The 17,933-nt window shown below is 36.8% G+C and overlaps 1 protein-coding gene across 7 annotated transcripts in view; it reads right to left on the bottom strand.

The window, feature by feature from the left end:
* Positions 1 to 1,167: 1,167 nt before the first annotated feature.
* KCNK2 (potassium two pore domain channel subfamily K member 2) overlaps positions 1,168 to 17,933 on the bottom strand; it is a 231,549-nt gene continuing 214,783 nt past the window's right edge. For all 7 annotated transcript variants that reach the window (XM_017001249.2, NM_001017424.3, XM_011509524.3 and 4 more), the window contains one exon: positions 1,168 to 3,430. In XM_017001249.2, coding sequence (XP_016856738.1) covers positions 3,113 to 3,430 — 318 coding nt within the window. In that variant the 3' untranslated portion in view covers positions 1,168 to 3,112. The remainder of the gene's footprint in view (positions 3,431 to 17,933) is intronic.

The raw sequence follows: 17,933 nt of genomic DNA, 5'->3' as shown, positions 1-17,933 counted from the left end.
AGTCTCTTTGAACTTTAAGCTTTAAGAGTCAAATAATTCTACTGATTTTTGACACAGAATTAGATGGGATTTGGTCTTTTATGTCATGTGTTCCTTAAAATTTGAGAAATAAACAAAGCCTTACACACGGTTCTTTCTTTTTTTGAAGGCCAAGATGCACATTATTCAATTTCCTCTTGGCCTCAGAAGTTTTACTTTCTTCTGCATTACAAGAGTGAAATACTATTGGAAAACAAGGTGTGTCACATGGACTATGTAGCACAGTATATAGATCTATGTAAGAAATTGAAAGAACTCCAAAAGAACCACTTTCACATTTAGTGGCTGTAAGGTTGGATAGAGAGCATATTCTAAAATCTACATCTAGGGATATAGATTAGGGAGTCCCTGATACTTTCTGTTCTAGTAGTTTTTTTTCAAATATCTTTCCAGGAAAAACTACTCACTCTTATATTGGCCTAATGGAAAAATAAACTCACTAGAAAATTCCACGTTTTGTCAAAATCTTTATCAAGTTTCTCCCTACAAGAAATAAACAAAATAAAGCTTGAGAAAATAAAAGTGATTTCAGTTCACATAATACACACTTTCTTAAAATTCCCCTAATCCTAAGGGTAATGTGGGGGGCTAGTTTCAGAATACTTACTGAGCATCAAATTGTTTAGGAATTAATCAATAAATCTATGTAGGATACGAACAAGGTAAGTAGTCCAAACATTTGTGGTATAAGGTCTAGAAGATCGGTTGGTAACTACCTTCTTTAGACTTCAATACCACCAGGATGCTTACTTGTCTTTTTCTTACAAAAAACACATTCAGGCACCTGTGTTCAGCATTCAGTCTACTTCAGTGTCAAGACAAGGTCTAACAATGATAAAATATGGCATAAATATATGGTAATATAATAGAAACAATCTTGAAACTATATGCGATTTCAAATATCTTATTTCAAAAATGAATTTCAGTATATTTGGTTTTAGTGAGTAGCCACTGAGGAAAACAGTCTGCATGTATTTAGCAAGGGTAGTATCAATGCATCAAAAATATTTCTTAAATATTTTGAATAAAGGAGGGACACAAACTCAGCATGAAAAGTAACATCCTGGAGTTCTACCTACCTAGATCATATCTGAATTCTCAGCAGCAAGCAGGAGACTCAGAAAATGCTGACTTTAATTACAAACTTTATTTGTCAATACAATTCACAGTTTATACATGGCGCATTCCACCATATAAATTTTCGGAACAGTTATTTGAGGAAATGGGTGTAGCTTTCTTTCTAAAAGAGCCTGACTTTCTAAAATTTTGGTTGGATTTTTTTTAACTTTATAAAAGTACTTTTAACAAATTAATTGAATATTTACATTTCTAGCTTAAATTTAAATTTTGGAAAATAAGCGTCTATTAGTTTATTTGCTTCTTTTAAAGATTCTGGGTTTATTTTTCAAGACCCTAATCTGAATGCCACTTATTCAGATACAGCTCCCACCCCCACACACAAAAAAGTAAAAGAAATCAGTTTGCAATTATATTTAGGGAAATTATTTTCTTTCTGCATTTTAAAAATTATATATATATACAATGTACAGCAGATCTAAGTATGAAAATAAAGGAAAGGGTAGCAATTTACGGGGTGCATTTACTGAATTTTTTCTGAATCTTGGAACCATCCAAAGAATTACAGGATATAAAATTAAACTAAAAAGAATAATCAGCCTCTTTTATGTGAAAAAAAAACACAGCAAACTCTCAAAATTTAAATTGTGCTATAACAGCTTTTTCTCTAATGTCAGAGATGAATTATGCCTGCAATCTGCATTTTTCCATGTGCAAAGTCACAGTGATCCCAACTTCAACTTCTGCCCTCACAGCCAAGTCACAACTCCAAAAGTATACCCACAGAAGGCTAGGACTGTGCCCTGCACTCACCACTGTGCCACCTCCTCTCATCTGGCAAAAGTCACCCAACGAAAAGAAAATTATATAAGCCTTTCATACATCAAAAAGCAATTAGAAGCTGGCAGTATACTGTTTATTAGCAAATACTTGTAACACATTGTTTTGCTATTTTCTTTCCATCAGAATGATAATTCACACCCACTGTTTTAAATCCCCTCCAATAATATCCATTTTTAACAGTTTTCTTCTGTCAGGTCATTTAGATAGATAGATAGATAGATAGATAGATAGATAGATAGATAGATAGATAGATTTTCTTCTTCTGCCTTTAAAAATGTATAGTTATTAATAAATGATAAATTCCAAATACTGCCAGGAAAAAAGGGGATTGTTTGCGAGCAGCCAATTTTACCAGCCTGGTCATAATTACACTGTATATATGTACCACTGGTACCTGAGTCAAATAAATACTCAGAGGGGCCACCTCTGCACCTCATTTCTCTGCAGTGCCTTTAACGCTAGGCAACGCTGAGTGTTGCTTCAATGTCCATCTAATTTGGCATCTATTTCATCTTCGGGCATCATCACTTCAGTCATTTTACACACTGTTTCCAGCAAGGTATGGTATTCAAATGGGAGAACTGGGGTAAAAGACTGCAGAGGTGAGCCTAGGGGTGGGGGCAGGGAAGGAGAAACCACACATTAGCTAGAGAGGTTCTGTTTCTTCATAAGATAAGGCACTGACAGAAAATTTCTTAGGTAAAAGGCTGCATAAGAATTTCTTGTCATTTACAAAAAAAAAATTGTTGTCATCCATAAATGGTCCATATCTAGGCTCAGTTAGGTAGACCCTGAAAAGTTAAGAACTGATCCCTCAAAGCTACATTGTTACCAGAAACAATTCTCATTCATTCTGAGGCCTTATGGCACATTAGGGAAAGAGAGAGGAAAACAGTCTGGGCACAAAAAGGCATCAGACATTGCTTGTCATTCCACTCATCAAAGAAAGTGGACCGTTCAACAAGCATCATCAGAAAGAAAGTGCTGGCTCAGAATTCCAAATTCTCTTGATGATAGATGACCATGATGGGTGTATCTATTTTGTTCCCCCTTTGAGCTCATGCACAATTTAAAAAATGCTACCAGCAACAGTCATAAAGAGCATAGAGAAGTCCTCACCTATGGCTATGCCTAAGGTTATTTAAAGAGAGGGCTATTTGATGTTCTCAATCACAGCAATCTCTTCACCAGCACAGTGTGGCGTCAAACCATTCAGATAGATACTCTCAGTCTTCAGTAAGGGAGGCAAGACATCCCTCTCGCTGGTCAGGTGGTTCACTGACAGGGTCCTCCTACAAGGAGTCAGCTCCTGATTGTGGTTTCCAGCCAGTTCTGCCGAGAGCTTCCGCTTGATGGAGGTGGCCCGCTGGAACTTGTCATAAATCTCCACACTCAGTCGCCTCCTGGTTTCTTTGAATTCGGCTGTGACGTTGGCTGTCCACTCAGCAGCGTGTGCTCTGAACTCTCCCACCTGGAACATACAAGCAGAGAAAAGATAAAGATATTGACATGCCGATCAACATTTTCTATGCTTTATCTTCAGTTCATTTTATTTTGGGATTTTAAAAAGAAGAGTGGAGTAGTCTTTTACAGCACTGGTGGTCTGAGAATTGATGAAATTAGGCAGGGTATACACAGCAGGATTCTATCTTATATAGATATAGCTCTAAAATTAATCTATGAACTTAAACTCTATGAATCAAACAATATTTCAGGGGCTCTACATGTGCTTGTTTTTTATACATGAATCCTGTCATTGAAATTTTTGATGCTGTAAAAAGGCAATCTCTAGCTTTTAAAAAACATTTTTAGTATTTTTTTCACTTGTATCTAATTTCAAGAAGTATTGGAATGTACAAAGGGCAGTAAGATATAGTAGAAGAAGCAAGGCAGAATAAAAGAGTCTGCAATATGAACCCAGGTGACCTTGTTTAGTTCTGAAAACAGCAATGCTGTTTGCTCAGATGTGAACCTAGTTTTCAGAGATCAGAAAAGGTGTGTGCAAGAGCGTTGTATCCAACCTCATACTGGTCATTTAGGAATTCTCTTTTTCCTAACTAAGCAACAAAATATTTTGTTTCTGCTTTCAGGGAATGCAAATAAATAATAACTGTTAAGTCCACCTTGAAGCCCACTTGGGAAACAGTTAAACCCAAGGCACAGTTTCTCAAAAAGTGTTTGTGGAATCCGTGAAGTTACTCAACCTGTGGGCTGCCACCTCCTCAGCTGTAGAACAGACATCTTCACAGTACACACCTAACAGGATGGCTGAGCTAATGAACTTTACAAACTGCAAGATGTTATGCATTTATTATTATGTAGTTATCTTTTGAGAATTAAAGAAAAAAAAGTGCCATCGATCACCCTGAGTCCATCAGACATTTTCTTTGACCTCTTTCAAAACTGCATCCGTATGTTTGTGTCCTAAAACAGAAAATATGACCAATTGTATGGGAATCTTTATAATCCTCTTAACTAACCAGAATTTAATAATCTAGACTGTCGCTTAAAATAATCTCCTAATATGGAACAACTCCTCCATTTTCTTCTAGCACTTCTGCTTTCAGCTTGGGAAACCCACTGAACTCATTTCTTAAGTGACCCAGGCTCTCGTTTGCTTCACAAGCAAACAACTACAGCTCTGTCTAATGTGTTTAATTTTTGCCCTCTTGATTTTTCTTTTAAAAAATCAACAAAGGAAATATAACTGATAGTTTCTAAATGTTTACACTCATCTGAATTATTGGAGGGGATAGATATTATAATATGATATGTACACATACTTGGAAGTAAGGCTATAGATATAAATGTGTGTGTGTGTACGTGTGTGTGTGTGTGTGTGTGTGTACTCAAAAACAGAAATGAAACTTCAAATATCCAAGGTGGATAGGAGGATGGTACATGGCAAATCAACTCTTTTTTTAATCCACACATAATCATACAGACACATACATTTGGGGATCTATTTTTTATTTTAACAGGCCTTTTATTTCCTAGTTATACTGTCTTAACAAGAAATAATTGCTTGATATCTAGGTCTGGCTCTGAAAAAAAAGCAAAGCTGGAAAAATGAGAACTCTATGGCATGTAGAATCAGCAAAATCAAGCTTTCCTTAACCACTGAGGCAACTTAGGGGAAGCTTGCTGGGAAAGAGGTGCAAATCTACAGGAATTTATCCTGGAGATACTTACTGTTCCTATAAGGGATCCTGTCCAACTATACTTAGATATAGAACTGATTACTAAACATGTAATTCTGTTTTGGGGGGACTCCCAGGTTAGGAAGGCATAGGCAGTATCTATCAGTGGTAGCACCCAGTCATTCGGATTTGGCTCCTACAAATTTCATGCACACTTACAAATAAACCCTCCCACAGTTTATATTATTTTTCTATTTTTTACCTAAGTCATGTCTCAAGTCTTGGGGCACAGTCAGAACTGATGGATCTAAAATGAAATCTATTCCATCAGGTTTATTTTGGTTACCACCAGCCTCTTACCTCACAGCCAGTCTTTCATGAACAGAAGGGCTGTAGACTTTCACAGAACCCGCCACCACTTTACTTTGGTAATTGTCTTCTTTTTTGTGTTATCTTAAAAAATATGTTTTTAATATAAAAGTAATAGGCTTTGTGCATCAAAATTCAAATGTTCACCTATATACTTGCTAATTTTGTCTTTTCTAATGAGAATGTAAGCTCCATATACATCCTCAGCACCTAGAACCTCGTATGTGGCACATTTCCAATAAGTACCTGTTAAATGAATAAATTTATCACTGGAAATACACATACTCTGTAATCTCATAACACAATGATAGTAATTGGCAGTATTATTTATAGCACACATGCTATCAATTGTTTTTCTTCTATCTGTAGACACTAATCTTACTTTCTGCCTCTTCCATCTCAATTGTCATCAACATTTTGCAAAAAAAGGTCTTATAGTACACACATTGTTTTGTACATAGCTTTTTTCTCATCGAATTTTAGTCCTTTTATCATGTTAGTACTCATTATTTCAGCTCATAGTTTATATCAGCCACCTAGCACTCCCCAAGGATAATGGCTATGGCATGATTTAATCATTCCCCTATTGATGAACATTTGGATAGATTTAATTTTTTTAGCTGTTACAAATAACACTTCAGTGAATATTCTTGTACCTACACCTTTGCTAATGTGTACAAAGTATTACCGCAAGTGGAAACACTGGGTCGAAAGGCATGAGTATTGATATGGCTTTGCTGTGTTCCCACCCAAATCTTATCTTGAATTGTAGTTCCTATAATTCCCATGTGTCATGGGAGGGACCTGGTGGGAGGTAATTGAATCACTGGGGTGGGTCTTTCCCGTGTTGTTCTCATGATAGTGAATTAGTCTCATGAGATCTGATGGTTTTATAAAGGGGAGTTCCCCTGCATTTGCTCTCTTGCCCGCTGCCACGTAAGAAGTCCCTTTGCTCTTCCTTTGCCTTCTACCATGATTGTGAGGCCCCTCCAGCCATGTGGAACTGTGAGTCCATTAAATCTCTTTCTTTATAAATTACTGAGTCTCAGGTATGTCTTTACTAGCAGTATGAGAACAGACTAATACAAATATTTTCTGATTTTGCAGACACTGATTTTCTGTCTGATTTTACTGGAGAGGCAGAATAATGTGCTGGATCTAAACCTCTAAGTTTGAATTCTGGCTCCACCACATATTCATTGTGTGTCTTAGGGTAAGTTTTTTAATGTCTTTAGCCTCAGTTTCTCCTGTGAAGTGGAGGAAACCACGGAATCGTCCCTATAGAGTTGGTATAACAATCAAATAAGTTAATATATTTAAAAGAGCAACACCGAGCACATAGCAGGCACTAGATACACATACAAAATTTTACACAATCTCATGACATAGACCTGTATTACCAGTGAGAGTCCTTTTTATTATGCGTTTATTGCATAATATTTATTGCCTACTATTTATTGAGCATTATTTTCAGACTCAGAATTCCCAGCAGCCTCACCATTTCTTTTCTGCACACTTAGGTATAACCTTTGCATTTTTGTAGCAAAAAGCACCTTATCATTGGCACCTGCATAGAAAGTATTTTAAATGTTTTTATCATCTCTTTATTGCAATTTGAATCTTAAGTGGTCCCAATAAGTTGGACAAAGAATGAAAACCTTTCTTAGACTTGACTGAATTTTCTCGAGAAGTTTCACAAAGTCACCATGATCTCACAGGTTTGCACTAATGGCAAACACACAGGAAACAGGAACATGTAGAGCCGAGTGCTTCTACCAGTTAGTGATTCCTGCCAATTAGGAAAAGGCTGAATGCAAGAAAAGCTCAGACTTGTTGGAGTCCATAAATTATTAATACTTAGTTATCTTTAATTGCATTCAATTTCTGTCAGAGGCTGGTATTTTTGTCTAATTTTGGAAACTTTTTTTTTCTCATTTCTGTAGAATTCCCAGAGGTGGAAAAGTAAACTCTGCAAATCATAAAAGCTGTAGTAACAATCTGTCAGAAATGGGGTGGGACAGGTGGGGGGATGAATGGGAGCCTCACCTTCTAGCTCTATAACCACATTCTGTGTGCCCACAGCCATGCAATTTAACCTTCTTTAAGCTTCAGATTCCTTATCTATAAAATAGGGCTAATAACCTATTTCACAGGACAAATGAATAAGATATATATATACGGCTATATATATATATATATATATTACGGTCTTGTATATATATATATATATGGCTGTTATGTGTGTGTATATATATACATATATATATATATATATATATATACAGCCGTGTGTGTGTGTGTGTGTGTGTGTATATATATATCTACAGCCATGAGCTACACGATTTTTTGGTCTGCATATACAGCAGTGATCCAATAAAACTATAATACTATATTTTTACTGTACCTTTTCTATATTTAGGTATGTTTAGATACACAAATACTCACCATCGTGTTACAAGTGCCTGCAGTATTCACTACAGTAACATGCCGTAAAGATTTGTAGCCTAGGAGCAATAGGCTATAGTATACAGCCTAAGCGTATAGTAGGCTATACCATGTAGGTTTGTGTAAGCGCACTCTATGATGTTGGCACAATGGTGAAATTGCCTAATGCCACATTTTCTCATAACATAGCTCCATCTTTAAGCAATGCATGACCGTGTGTGTGTGTGTGTGTGTGTGTGTGTGTGTGTGTGTATACACACACACAGATATATATATCTATATATATATCTGTGTGTATATATATCTATATATGTATATATATATATAATCTGTGTGTGTGCATATCTGTGTGTGTTCTCAAAATATAAAGGGCTATACAATTATTAATTATGATAATAGGTGAAGATGATATGGTTTGCCAAGGGTGCTTTAATTATTTATTACTTCTAAGGCCTAAACATCTTTTAGAGGAGTGCAGAGCAAATTCATGCTATATAGAAATCTACCCTATAGCGGGTTACATTAAGGTGAGGATACACTGCCTCAATTTCCTAAAGATACTGAAAACAATACATTGACTCATAAAAGTGTGCACTTGGGCAACTCATCTAAACCACCAATAATAGTATCTGTTCCTTTTTAAAAACAAAATCTTTTTTTTTCTTTTTTCACTTTTTTTTCTTTGTTTTGAGACAGGGTTTCACTCTGTCTTCCAGTCTGTGGCATGATCATGGCTCACTGCAGCCTTGACCTCCTGGGCTCAAGCAATCCTCCTGGCTTAGCCTTCCAAGTAGCTTGGACTATGGTGCATGCTCCCATGCCCAGCTAATTTTTTTAATTTTTTGTACAGATAGAATCTCCTGAGGTTGCCCAGGCTGGTCTCAATCTTGTGAGCTCAAATGATTCTCCTGCCTTAGCCTCCTAAAGTGCTGGGATTACAGGTGTGAGCCACAGTACCCAGCCTGTTCCCTCTTTGTTGTACCCTTTCTACTATTATTTACAATGCTTTAGGAATATAACTGCCCAAACCCAAAGCTTGAAAATCAGGAGAAACAAAAGAGAAAATAGAGGAGTCCCTCAAAAACTAAACCAAGGCAAGAAAGAATTAATCATTCACATTCAAAAAAAAAAAAAAAAGAAAAACAATCTTGACCTTATAAGATTATAGCAGGGGTATCTAATCCTTTGACTTCCCTGGGCCACATTAGAAAAAAAAGAATTGTCTTAGGCCACACATAAAATACACTAACACTAATGATAGCTGATGAGCTAAAAATAAATATATTGCAAAATATCTCATAATGTTTTAAGTTTATGAATTTATTTGGGGCTGTATTCAAAGCTATCCTGGGCTGCATGCAGCCCACGGCCCATGGGTTGAACAAGCTTGGTTTATAGCAATGTAGTCATTATTCACCAAGTAACACATAATCCCCTAATGTACGGACTCATATCTTTTCCTGGTGATAAAATTGTCTACTCAAACTCTAAAGATGCTTTTTTGTTTTCGAAGAAATTCAAAAATAAGTTCCTGAGAATATCACATTTATATAAATAAAATTTTTTCTTAATAGAAATAATGCTTTTGGTGTTCTGGATAATTAAAATTAATCCTTGTGCATTAAAATACTTTTGCTTCATCAGATTTTTATAAAAAATATTTCAGCAACTTAATCAAATAGTGTTTCATCTTCCTATGACCAAGCAATCTGCATTACTTACTAAACCAAGCTGAGGACAAAAAGTGAGGAAAAACAGCTCCAAAAAATCACAATGAATGTTCCTACAGGTCATGTAATTTACGGAAGAAAGAGGTCTTTACTGGAATTCCATGTATTCTTAACTTTCACATGATGCTCACAGCCCAGGTGATCTGATTTACAGAAGAAAAAGAAGGAAATGGAGTGCTATATATAAACAGGCACTTGTTCTCCGACTCTACTGGAACTGTTCTCATCCACCTCACTAAGTTCTCTGTCCTTAACTCGCCGGATCTTCACAGCTGCAAATGGCACTGCTCCGTCCCTCCCAATCAGTGTTTGCTCTTAGTTTCTGAGTCAGCACACTCTCATGGCTGTTGTCTCACTGTTCGGGTCAATTTTCTCAATCATCTTTGTAGCTTCATTTTCCTTTACCCTCCTCCTTAACTACCTTTGTTCTGCAGGGTTCTATTTTCATTCTCCCCGGATAATCACATCCTTCCGATTGTTTCAATTACCATCTATTTGCTGATGACTCCCAAATCCATATTTCTAGGTCAAATCTTTACTGAATTCCGCATCTGTATAACTGACTGCTTATTAAGCCTCTTCACTTTCGATGGCTCCCAGGCATCTCAAACTTATGTCCCTAAGTGAAATCATTTAACTTCTTTAACTTTTTTTTTTTAACTTAATATCACATCATGGTACCACTAAGTTTCCTAAGGTGAACTTCAATATAATCCCTTGCTCCTCCTCTTACTGAATCTTACATCAAGTTCTTACTCAGATTTGTTCATTAAAGCAAATCTTACAACCAGCTCCAATTCTTGCTTATTTACCTCTTTTCCTCTCAATTCCTTCACTTCTTTCCATTCCTATTGTCAAAACCGTGGAAGAGTCCACCATTTTGTCTCATGTGTATTACTTCTGTGGTCTGCTAACCAATCTTGCTGACTTAATTCCCTATCCCCTCAAATGCATTCTCCACGCAGCCGCCAAATTGCCCTGTAATGAACACAAATCGACCTAGTACTTTCCCCTGCATAAAACCAATTGATGCCTGTTTCACTTACAATAAAGTTCCAACTCTTTAAAGTGACTCATGTAATCTAGGGCTTACCTGCTGTTTCAGCCTCAATTCTAATTACCATCCCTCTCAAACTCCATGTCGGGGGCCATCCTGAACGTTTCTTTTATTTCCTCAAAATTCTTCTCTCTCTTTTGCCTTTGTTCATTCATTACCTGTTTTTCTCTCATCCAGAATGCTGTTTCCCAGTCCCTCTCTAGGATATTTCCTACTCATGTTAAACTGGACATCCTCATGGAGCCATTTCCCAATCCTCTAGAATACATTAGAATCATTTGCTAGTTGTGCCCATACCCCTCTGTACTTCCTTAGCATTACTGCTCAACACAACTTACTACAATTACTAGTCTGATTGCTCTCCTGACTTCATGACACTAGAGAGGATATGTCCACCATATTCTATTCAGTATTCCCAGCTCCTAGAAGAGTGTACATAGTTAGAATTCAGTCAGTACTTGCTGGACAAATAAATGGGTAAGTGAATAAAGGACAAATGAATCAATCACATTTTTGATACACAATCCAGTACAAAGAATCTGCTTCCTGGTTGACTCTGATGGGATAATCTTGATCCTCTCAGCAGGAAGATGCAGCCGGTGAAAAGCACTGACTCATAGCCATCTCTATTCATAGTAAAGGTCCAAAATATGTTTCCTCAAACTAACTTTTTAGTCATTGCAGAGACTCCTCAGCATTCTAAGAAGCCTATGATGCTAATATCTCATTCTCAAAGTGAAGAACATCACGCCTATTGTATATATAGATCTTTTAAATCAGATTTTCTTTCTTTCTTTTTTCCTTTCTGCTTACCAGCCCTCTAACTCTTTTCACCTCTCTCACCACTTTTCATGACAATATCTCACCAGGCTATTCCAGAACCTGAGCTTTATCATCTTTACGGAATGCAATCTTTGAAGTTAAAGAAAGGTTGGCCGGGCGCGGTGGCTCATGCCTGTAATCCCAGCACTTTGGGAGGCCGAGGTGGGTGAATCGCGAGGTCAGGAGATTGAGACCATCCTGGCTAACATGGTGAAACCCCGTCTCTACCAAAAATACATAAAATTAGCCAGGCGTGATGGCACGCGCCTGTAGTCCCAGCTACCCAGGAGGCTGAGGCAAGAGAATCGCTTGAACCCGGGAGGCGGAGGTTACAGTGAGCCGAGATCACGCCACTGCGCTCCAGCTTGCGGACAGAGTGAGACGCTGTCTCAAAAAACAAAACAAAACAAAACAAATAAAAAACAAGACAAACAAACAAAAAAGATATGTTAACAATTTCACTTCAGAAGAATCACTAACATCTTCCTCTGCAACTATAAATGTTAATCCTCTGATAGCTTTTCAATGGAGCAAAGTATCATGATTACAGAGGCCTAGAATCTGCCTCCTCAATAATGGTTCCAAACCTTACTGTCCTCAGGTTATCTAACATATCTCAAATAATGTCAAGAAAGCCCTTGTCATGGTGGCAACATAATTTAAAAACAAGCACTTGCCATATTTCAACATTTTTAGAGTAATTTTCCTGAAGTACATAAGATTGATAGGGTGGCCTAAGAAGGATAAAAGTTCTCTATTCTAGAAGTTTGAAATGTGTGAAATTTACAGTAAGCTCATTTATAACCACAAGGAATATTTATTACTCCATTGACTCCAGTCAGCTACGTGGCCAATTTTTTGAAGGTAAGGACCATTGTTCTGTTTCTTATCAAGTTCAACCTTCCTTCCTACCCTCTCCACACTGCAACATCTTGGATAGTGCTGTGAGTATAGTAATTTAATAAAATAAGTTTAGTCTTCCCAACTAGATGGTAAGTTAATGACAGAGACTATGCATTCTATCAATTTCTTCTCCTCATAAAAGTACCCAACATGGTAATTTGAATAGACCAGACTCCTACATACATTCTAACTGACTGGTAAGAGAAATCTGTGACCATTGACTGACATAGCCCTCCTCCTGTACAAAAACATTCTGGAACTTTCTTATAAAGGTGATATTTTCATAGGTTCTCTACCAGTGTGTGTTGGTACGGCCTGAAGAGAAAGCAACTTATAAACCAATTTTAATCAGACTAAAATCTTCATATCCTTTGATAAAAGTCAATAATTTATAGAAATTAATTCTGACCACGAATTTCCAGCAAAGGAAAAGGCAAGTATGTAAGAAGATATTCTTTGAGCCATATTTTTAATAGCATAATCTTGAGGCTAATAAATGTCATGTATGAAGTCAATGTTTATGAGAAGCCTGTCAGCTACAGAAACCATTTTTCTTACTACTATGGTTGTATTAAGTAAACTGATAAAAAAATAAAATTGCATTTTTACCAACTGATTACAGCTTTGTAAAATAATGGATGCATATCATGATATACAAAGTACATAAAAATGGAAACTATGGATTTTAGCAATTACCTGTTGAATATCTATTATATGCCAAGTCCTGGGCTTAGTGTTGGCTTTCTTGAGGTAAAAAGTTATTTAAGTAGTATTTTTATTCCCTTTTAAGTCTCCCTTTACTGGTGTTATATTATGCAGTATATAGCATATCCAGCCCTAAATAAACCTTGAGGAGGCAGAGTTCTTTATGAGGTGCTATTTATTTGCTCAACGCAACCCAAGTATCAGAAGTGGACTGCAATTGCCCCTAGGAATTTCTCTGATTCAGATATCACAGTAAAAAAATACCTGAAGAAGGTATTTAATTTTCAATGGTATAAATTTTAAAATGATTGAGATTATTTGAGTCTATATTTCCAAATTGTAGCTCTACATTTTTGACTAAAGTGTAATTCATTATATTTTACTACACACACGAGTGTGATAAAGGGTAGTTGCCAGTCCTGAATTTCATGTTTGCATAATGTTTTCACTTTTGTAAGTTTCCTTGGCTCCCTCTAGCTCTACTCCAGGTCATTTGAGTAGTTATTTCCTTGTCACAAAAAGTGTAACATGATTTAAAGAAAATTTTCAGTCTTTTCAGTTTGAAAAAAAATTTTTTTCATTGCATTTTTTAAGTGGTCTTTATTAACTGCATTTCTAAGGAGATGATTTGCCTCCAAACGACTCTGCAAAATGCCAACTCCCTATTTTTGCAAGAAAGTAAAGCCAATTTTTGAGGAGCAGTACTTCTTAATACTTTCTTTCTCCCTCTGCTGTTTTTGAGCCATGCGTCTGTAACATGAGTACGTATCATCCTACCATGACTTTTGATAGAATAGCGTCCAGAGTCCGTTTCATGTAAAAATGTTTTCTCCACATGGCAGAAATTGTTGTCTCCCCTCTAAGTGGGGTTACCCACTTAGAATTTCATTGTTGAATTTCTAATTTTGAATTTAGAATTTCATTGTTGAATAGTAGCTAATACCCAGGAGGTTCTCCAATTTTAGATAATGCTGTTGCATGAGTCCTGTTTTCCATAAAACTCAGCAATCTCCAAGAGATTAGACATCGTTTCATTTTCAATATGCTGCTTAACTTATCTATATAAACTTAGACAACTCCTCAAATTTAGACTAATTCTAAACAAAATTATTTACTTAGCTTAATTATCTGTTTCACTTTGACTTTCAGAGCCATCCAAAGCTTTGTCCTCCTGAACAAGGCTTTCGCACTTCCATGCCTTTCCATACATTGGAAAACCTAACATTCTCTGCTTCAGTTTTTTTTTTACCCAGCATACTTTGCCCAACTACCTGTGAGCTTTGAAATCCTGCAATACTCTTTATAGAATTTTGATTTCTGGTCATGAATAAAAGTGTAAAAATAAAATTTTCTAGTTTTCTAAATAGTCCATCTCCAAAAGATGAGTGTCCGAACAGCATTATTACAATTATTTGCAGTCAGCTACCTTAGAATAGAAGTATGTGGTGTGATTTGGAAATGTGAAAATAGCAATTCTTCCAGGTGTTCTATGGTAAGAAAGCAATTCATATTTTATTTCTCTCAAAGCCCCTTCCACCATGCATTCCTTTGACTCAGGGCCTTCCCTTCTCACTTTATGTACAAGGTCACTTTTTTTCCCTTGCAGTCCTACAATCTTGTCCTAATCAGTTTCTTCCTATGGAGCTTACCCTGCCTTATCTATATTTTTCATTTGAATTGGCTATACTTTCTCTTCTTAAGCAATCTTCAACTGACTATAAACTGTCATTTGTCAAAGGTAAGCCAGTCCTGTCCCAGAATCATCACTAGATAAGGGATTTCTACCTGAAACTCTGAACTCTGTAAGGTTTTTCCAATTACCAACAGCCAACTCAAGTATCGATAATACTTGTAAGAGTTTTGACTTTTTTTTTTTTTTTTTTTTTAGAAAAGAGCTTATTCTGTACAGATATAATCATTGTTTTTGATGTGGGGAACCTTTTCCACCTAACGGATGGCTTCAAAAGAATCTGAAGCAAAGCTGAGAATTTAGGATTTAAGAATGACCATTTGGAAATTTTCTTCACCAGAAATAAAACTACTGAAGTCTTCCTGATCTTTGACCGGGATTTTTTCCTGTCCCTTTTGGAGGTGGTATTTTAATTTTAATTTGCTTTTCTCAGTGCTCGAATGCTTATATACCTTAATGCTTTGAAGAAAGTTAAATATTAAAAGTAGCTGAGTTAAAAACATCCCTCTAGCTAAATTTGTAAAAATAATTAGAAGCCTACTTTGCATTCCAATTTCAGCGGTTGCCTAGACTAAAATTCCTAACAATTATCATTAATTCATTTTCTAAAGTATTGACATTTCATTGTATTGTTGAACTGTGCTGGTAAAAGGAACATTTCCAATTATTCTCTTTACCAACCAGGTTTAAAGAAAAAAAAAAAGCCTAAAAGGATTATTTAAGTATCACATTATCTTGACAGAACAGTACATGATGTTTTCTCTGGTTTTCTGAGAAGTATATGTAATATTCATAAGGTCTTCTTAACCTAACCTGCTTTTTTTGGCTAGTAATTTCTCTACTTCTTAATGTTACATATATTAATGTAATTGTGTAAAGATTAATTACAAGAGTACTTAATCTTTTTAAAGACAATGTCAAGAAAAATAACACTAAAATTTATAGCATTATTTTAAATAATATCTTTCTTCTAAAAATGTCTAAGTATGAAATACAGTGTTAACTGTCTTAATGATGAGGTGTGGCTGCAAAATCAAACACTCACTTGTTGCAGAGTAAACTCAACTTATTTTTGTCATCATATCACTGAGCATCCTTGAAATTCTCTTCACTGCTCTGCTATTGGGGTTTCTTTAACAATCCATTTTATGAAGCTCATCCAAATTACACGATTGCATTGTAAAGATGATAATATAGTTTGGATAGTTGTCCCCACCCAAATCTCATGTTGAATTGTAATCCCCAATGCTGGATGGAGGTGGGGACTGGGGGGAGATGTTTGGGTCATGGGGTCATGGGGGTGGATCCCTCATGGCTTGGTGCTGTTTACACGGTATTGGGTTCTTACGAGATCTGGTCATTTAAAAGTGTATGTCACCTCCCACCCCACTCTCTCTTGCTCCTGCTTTTGCCATGTGACATGCCTGCTCCCACTTTGCCTTCCACCATGAGCAAAAGCTTCCTGGGGCCTCCCCAGAAGCAGATGCTTCCTGTACAACCTGCAGAACCATGAGCCAATTAAACTTCTTTTCTTATAAATTACCCAGTCTCAGGTATTTCTTTATAGCAATGCAAGAATAGCCTAAATATAGATGAGGATACTGAATTTCAGAAACAATATAATTTGTGTGCTTAGATAAATTTTCATACACTGTTATATGATTGAGTTATAGTAACTAGATACGGTTGATTCCTGAACAATATGCATTTGAACTGTGTGGGTCTACTTATATGTGGATTTTGTTCTGCCTCTGCAATCGCTGAGACAGCAAGACCACCCCCTCCCTTTCCCCCACCTCCTACTAAGTCTACTTAACATGAAGAAAATAAGGATGAAGGCCGTTATGATGGTTCATTTCCACTTAATAGTAAATATATTTTCTCTTTCCTATGATTTTCTAAATAACATTTTTATTTTCTCTAGCATATTTTACTGTAAGAATATAGTACATAATAATTATACAAAATATGTGTTGACTGTTATCAGTAAGGCTTCTCAATAGTAGCCTATTAGTATTTTTTTGTGTGTTTTTTGTTGTCGTTGTTTGTTTGTTTGTTTCTTTTGAGATGGAGTCTCACTCTGTTGCCCAGGCTGGAGTGTAGTGGCGCGATCTCAGCTCACTGCAACCTCCGCTTCCCCAGTTCAAGCAACTCTCCTGCCTCAGCCTCCTGAGTAGCTGGGATTACAGGCACCTGCCACCACGCCTGACTACTTTTTGTATTTTTAGTAGAGATGGGGTTTCACCATGTTGGCTAGGCTGGTCTCAAACTCCTGACCTCATGATCCACCCACCTTGGCCTTGGCCTCTCAAAGTGCTGGGATTACAGGTGTGAGCCACTGCGCCCAGCCAAGTAGTTTTTTAAGGAGTCAAAAGTTATACAAAAATTTTTGACTGTGCAGGGAAAGGGGTCAGTGCCCCTCACTCCTGCATTGTTCAAGGGTAAATTGTTATTTGTCAGGACAATGTGGAAACTCTACAAGTACCACTGTCTGATGACCCGGGTGGTAATAGTGATGAGGCGGTGGAGGGTAATCATCTGTTTGTTGTTCAAGTTCTTAAGGTATTCAGAAAATGCCAAGTCAAAAGTAACAACTGAATAAAGAGGTGGACTGCAACTTTAAGTCATTTGCCATAATATGCATTCATTATGTATTTAGCAAAACCAAAACATTTAATGATGTTTCAAATCTCATTCAGGAAACCTAGATTTAATAGTATTTATTTATAACAAAACGGCATTTTATGTTCACTGCAGCAATACAGGACCAGTCCACTAAAACATGGTTTTGCTTCCTTTTCTCTTCCTCTCCCTTTTCTAAACAATTCAGTCCCAAAGCAGTGAAATGGAGCAGAACTAGTTAGCCATCCGTGCAGTTGCTTTGGGAGAGGGCCATGGTACCAGAGTGAAATGTCAGAGCCAGACCAGCATGAGAAGAATGTCTACTCAAGGGGTGGTAGCAGAGTGTGGGTTTCAGAGTCTGAGATGGGTGACGAGGTCAACCCAAAGAGGGAGGCCCAGCACATAGTGTCAGAAACCAAGCAGGGTGGAGAGGGTGTCCCTGCAGGGTTCCTGGTGGTGGCAGTAGCGGCAACTCAAGATTGGCTACACAC

Source organism: Homo sapiens, chromosome 1 (genome assembly GCF_000001405.40).
Source record: "Homo sapiens chromosome 1, GRCh38.p14 Primary Assembly".
Lineage (NCBI taxonomy): Eukaryota > Metazoa > Chordata > Mammalia > Primates > Hominidae > Homo > Homo sapiens.
Note: the sequence above shows the minus strand (reverse complement) of the source record. Positions and strands in the feature narration are given on the sequence as shown.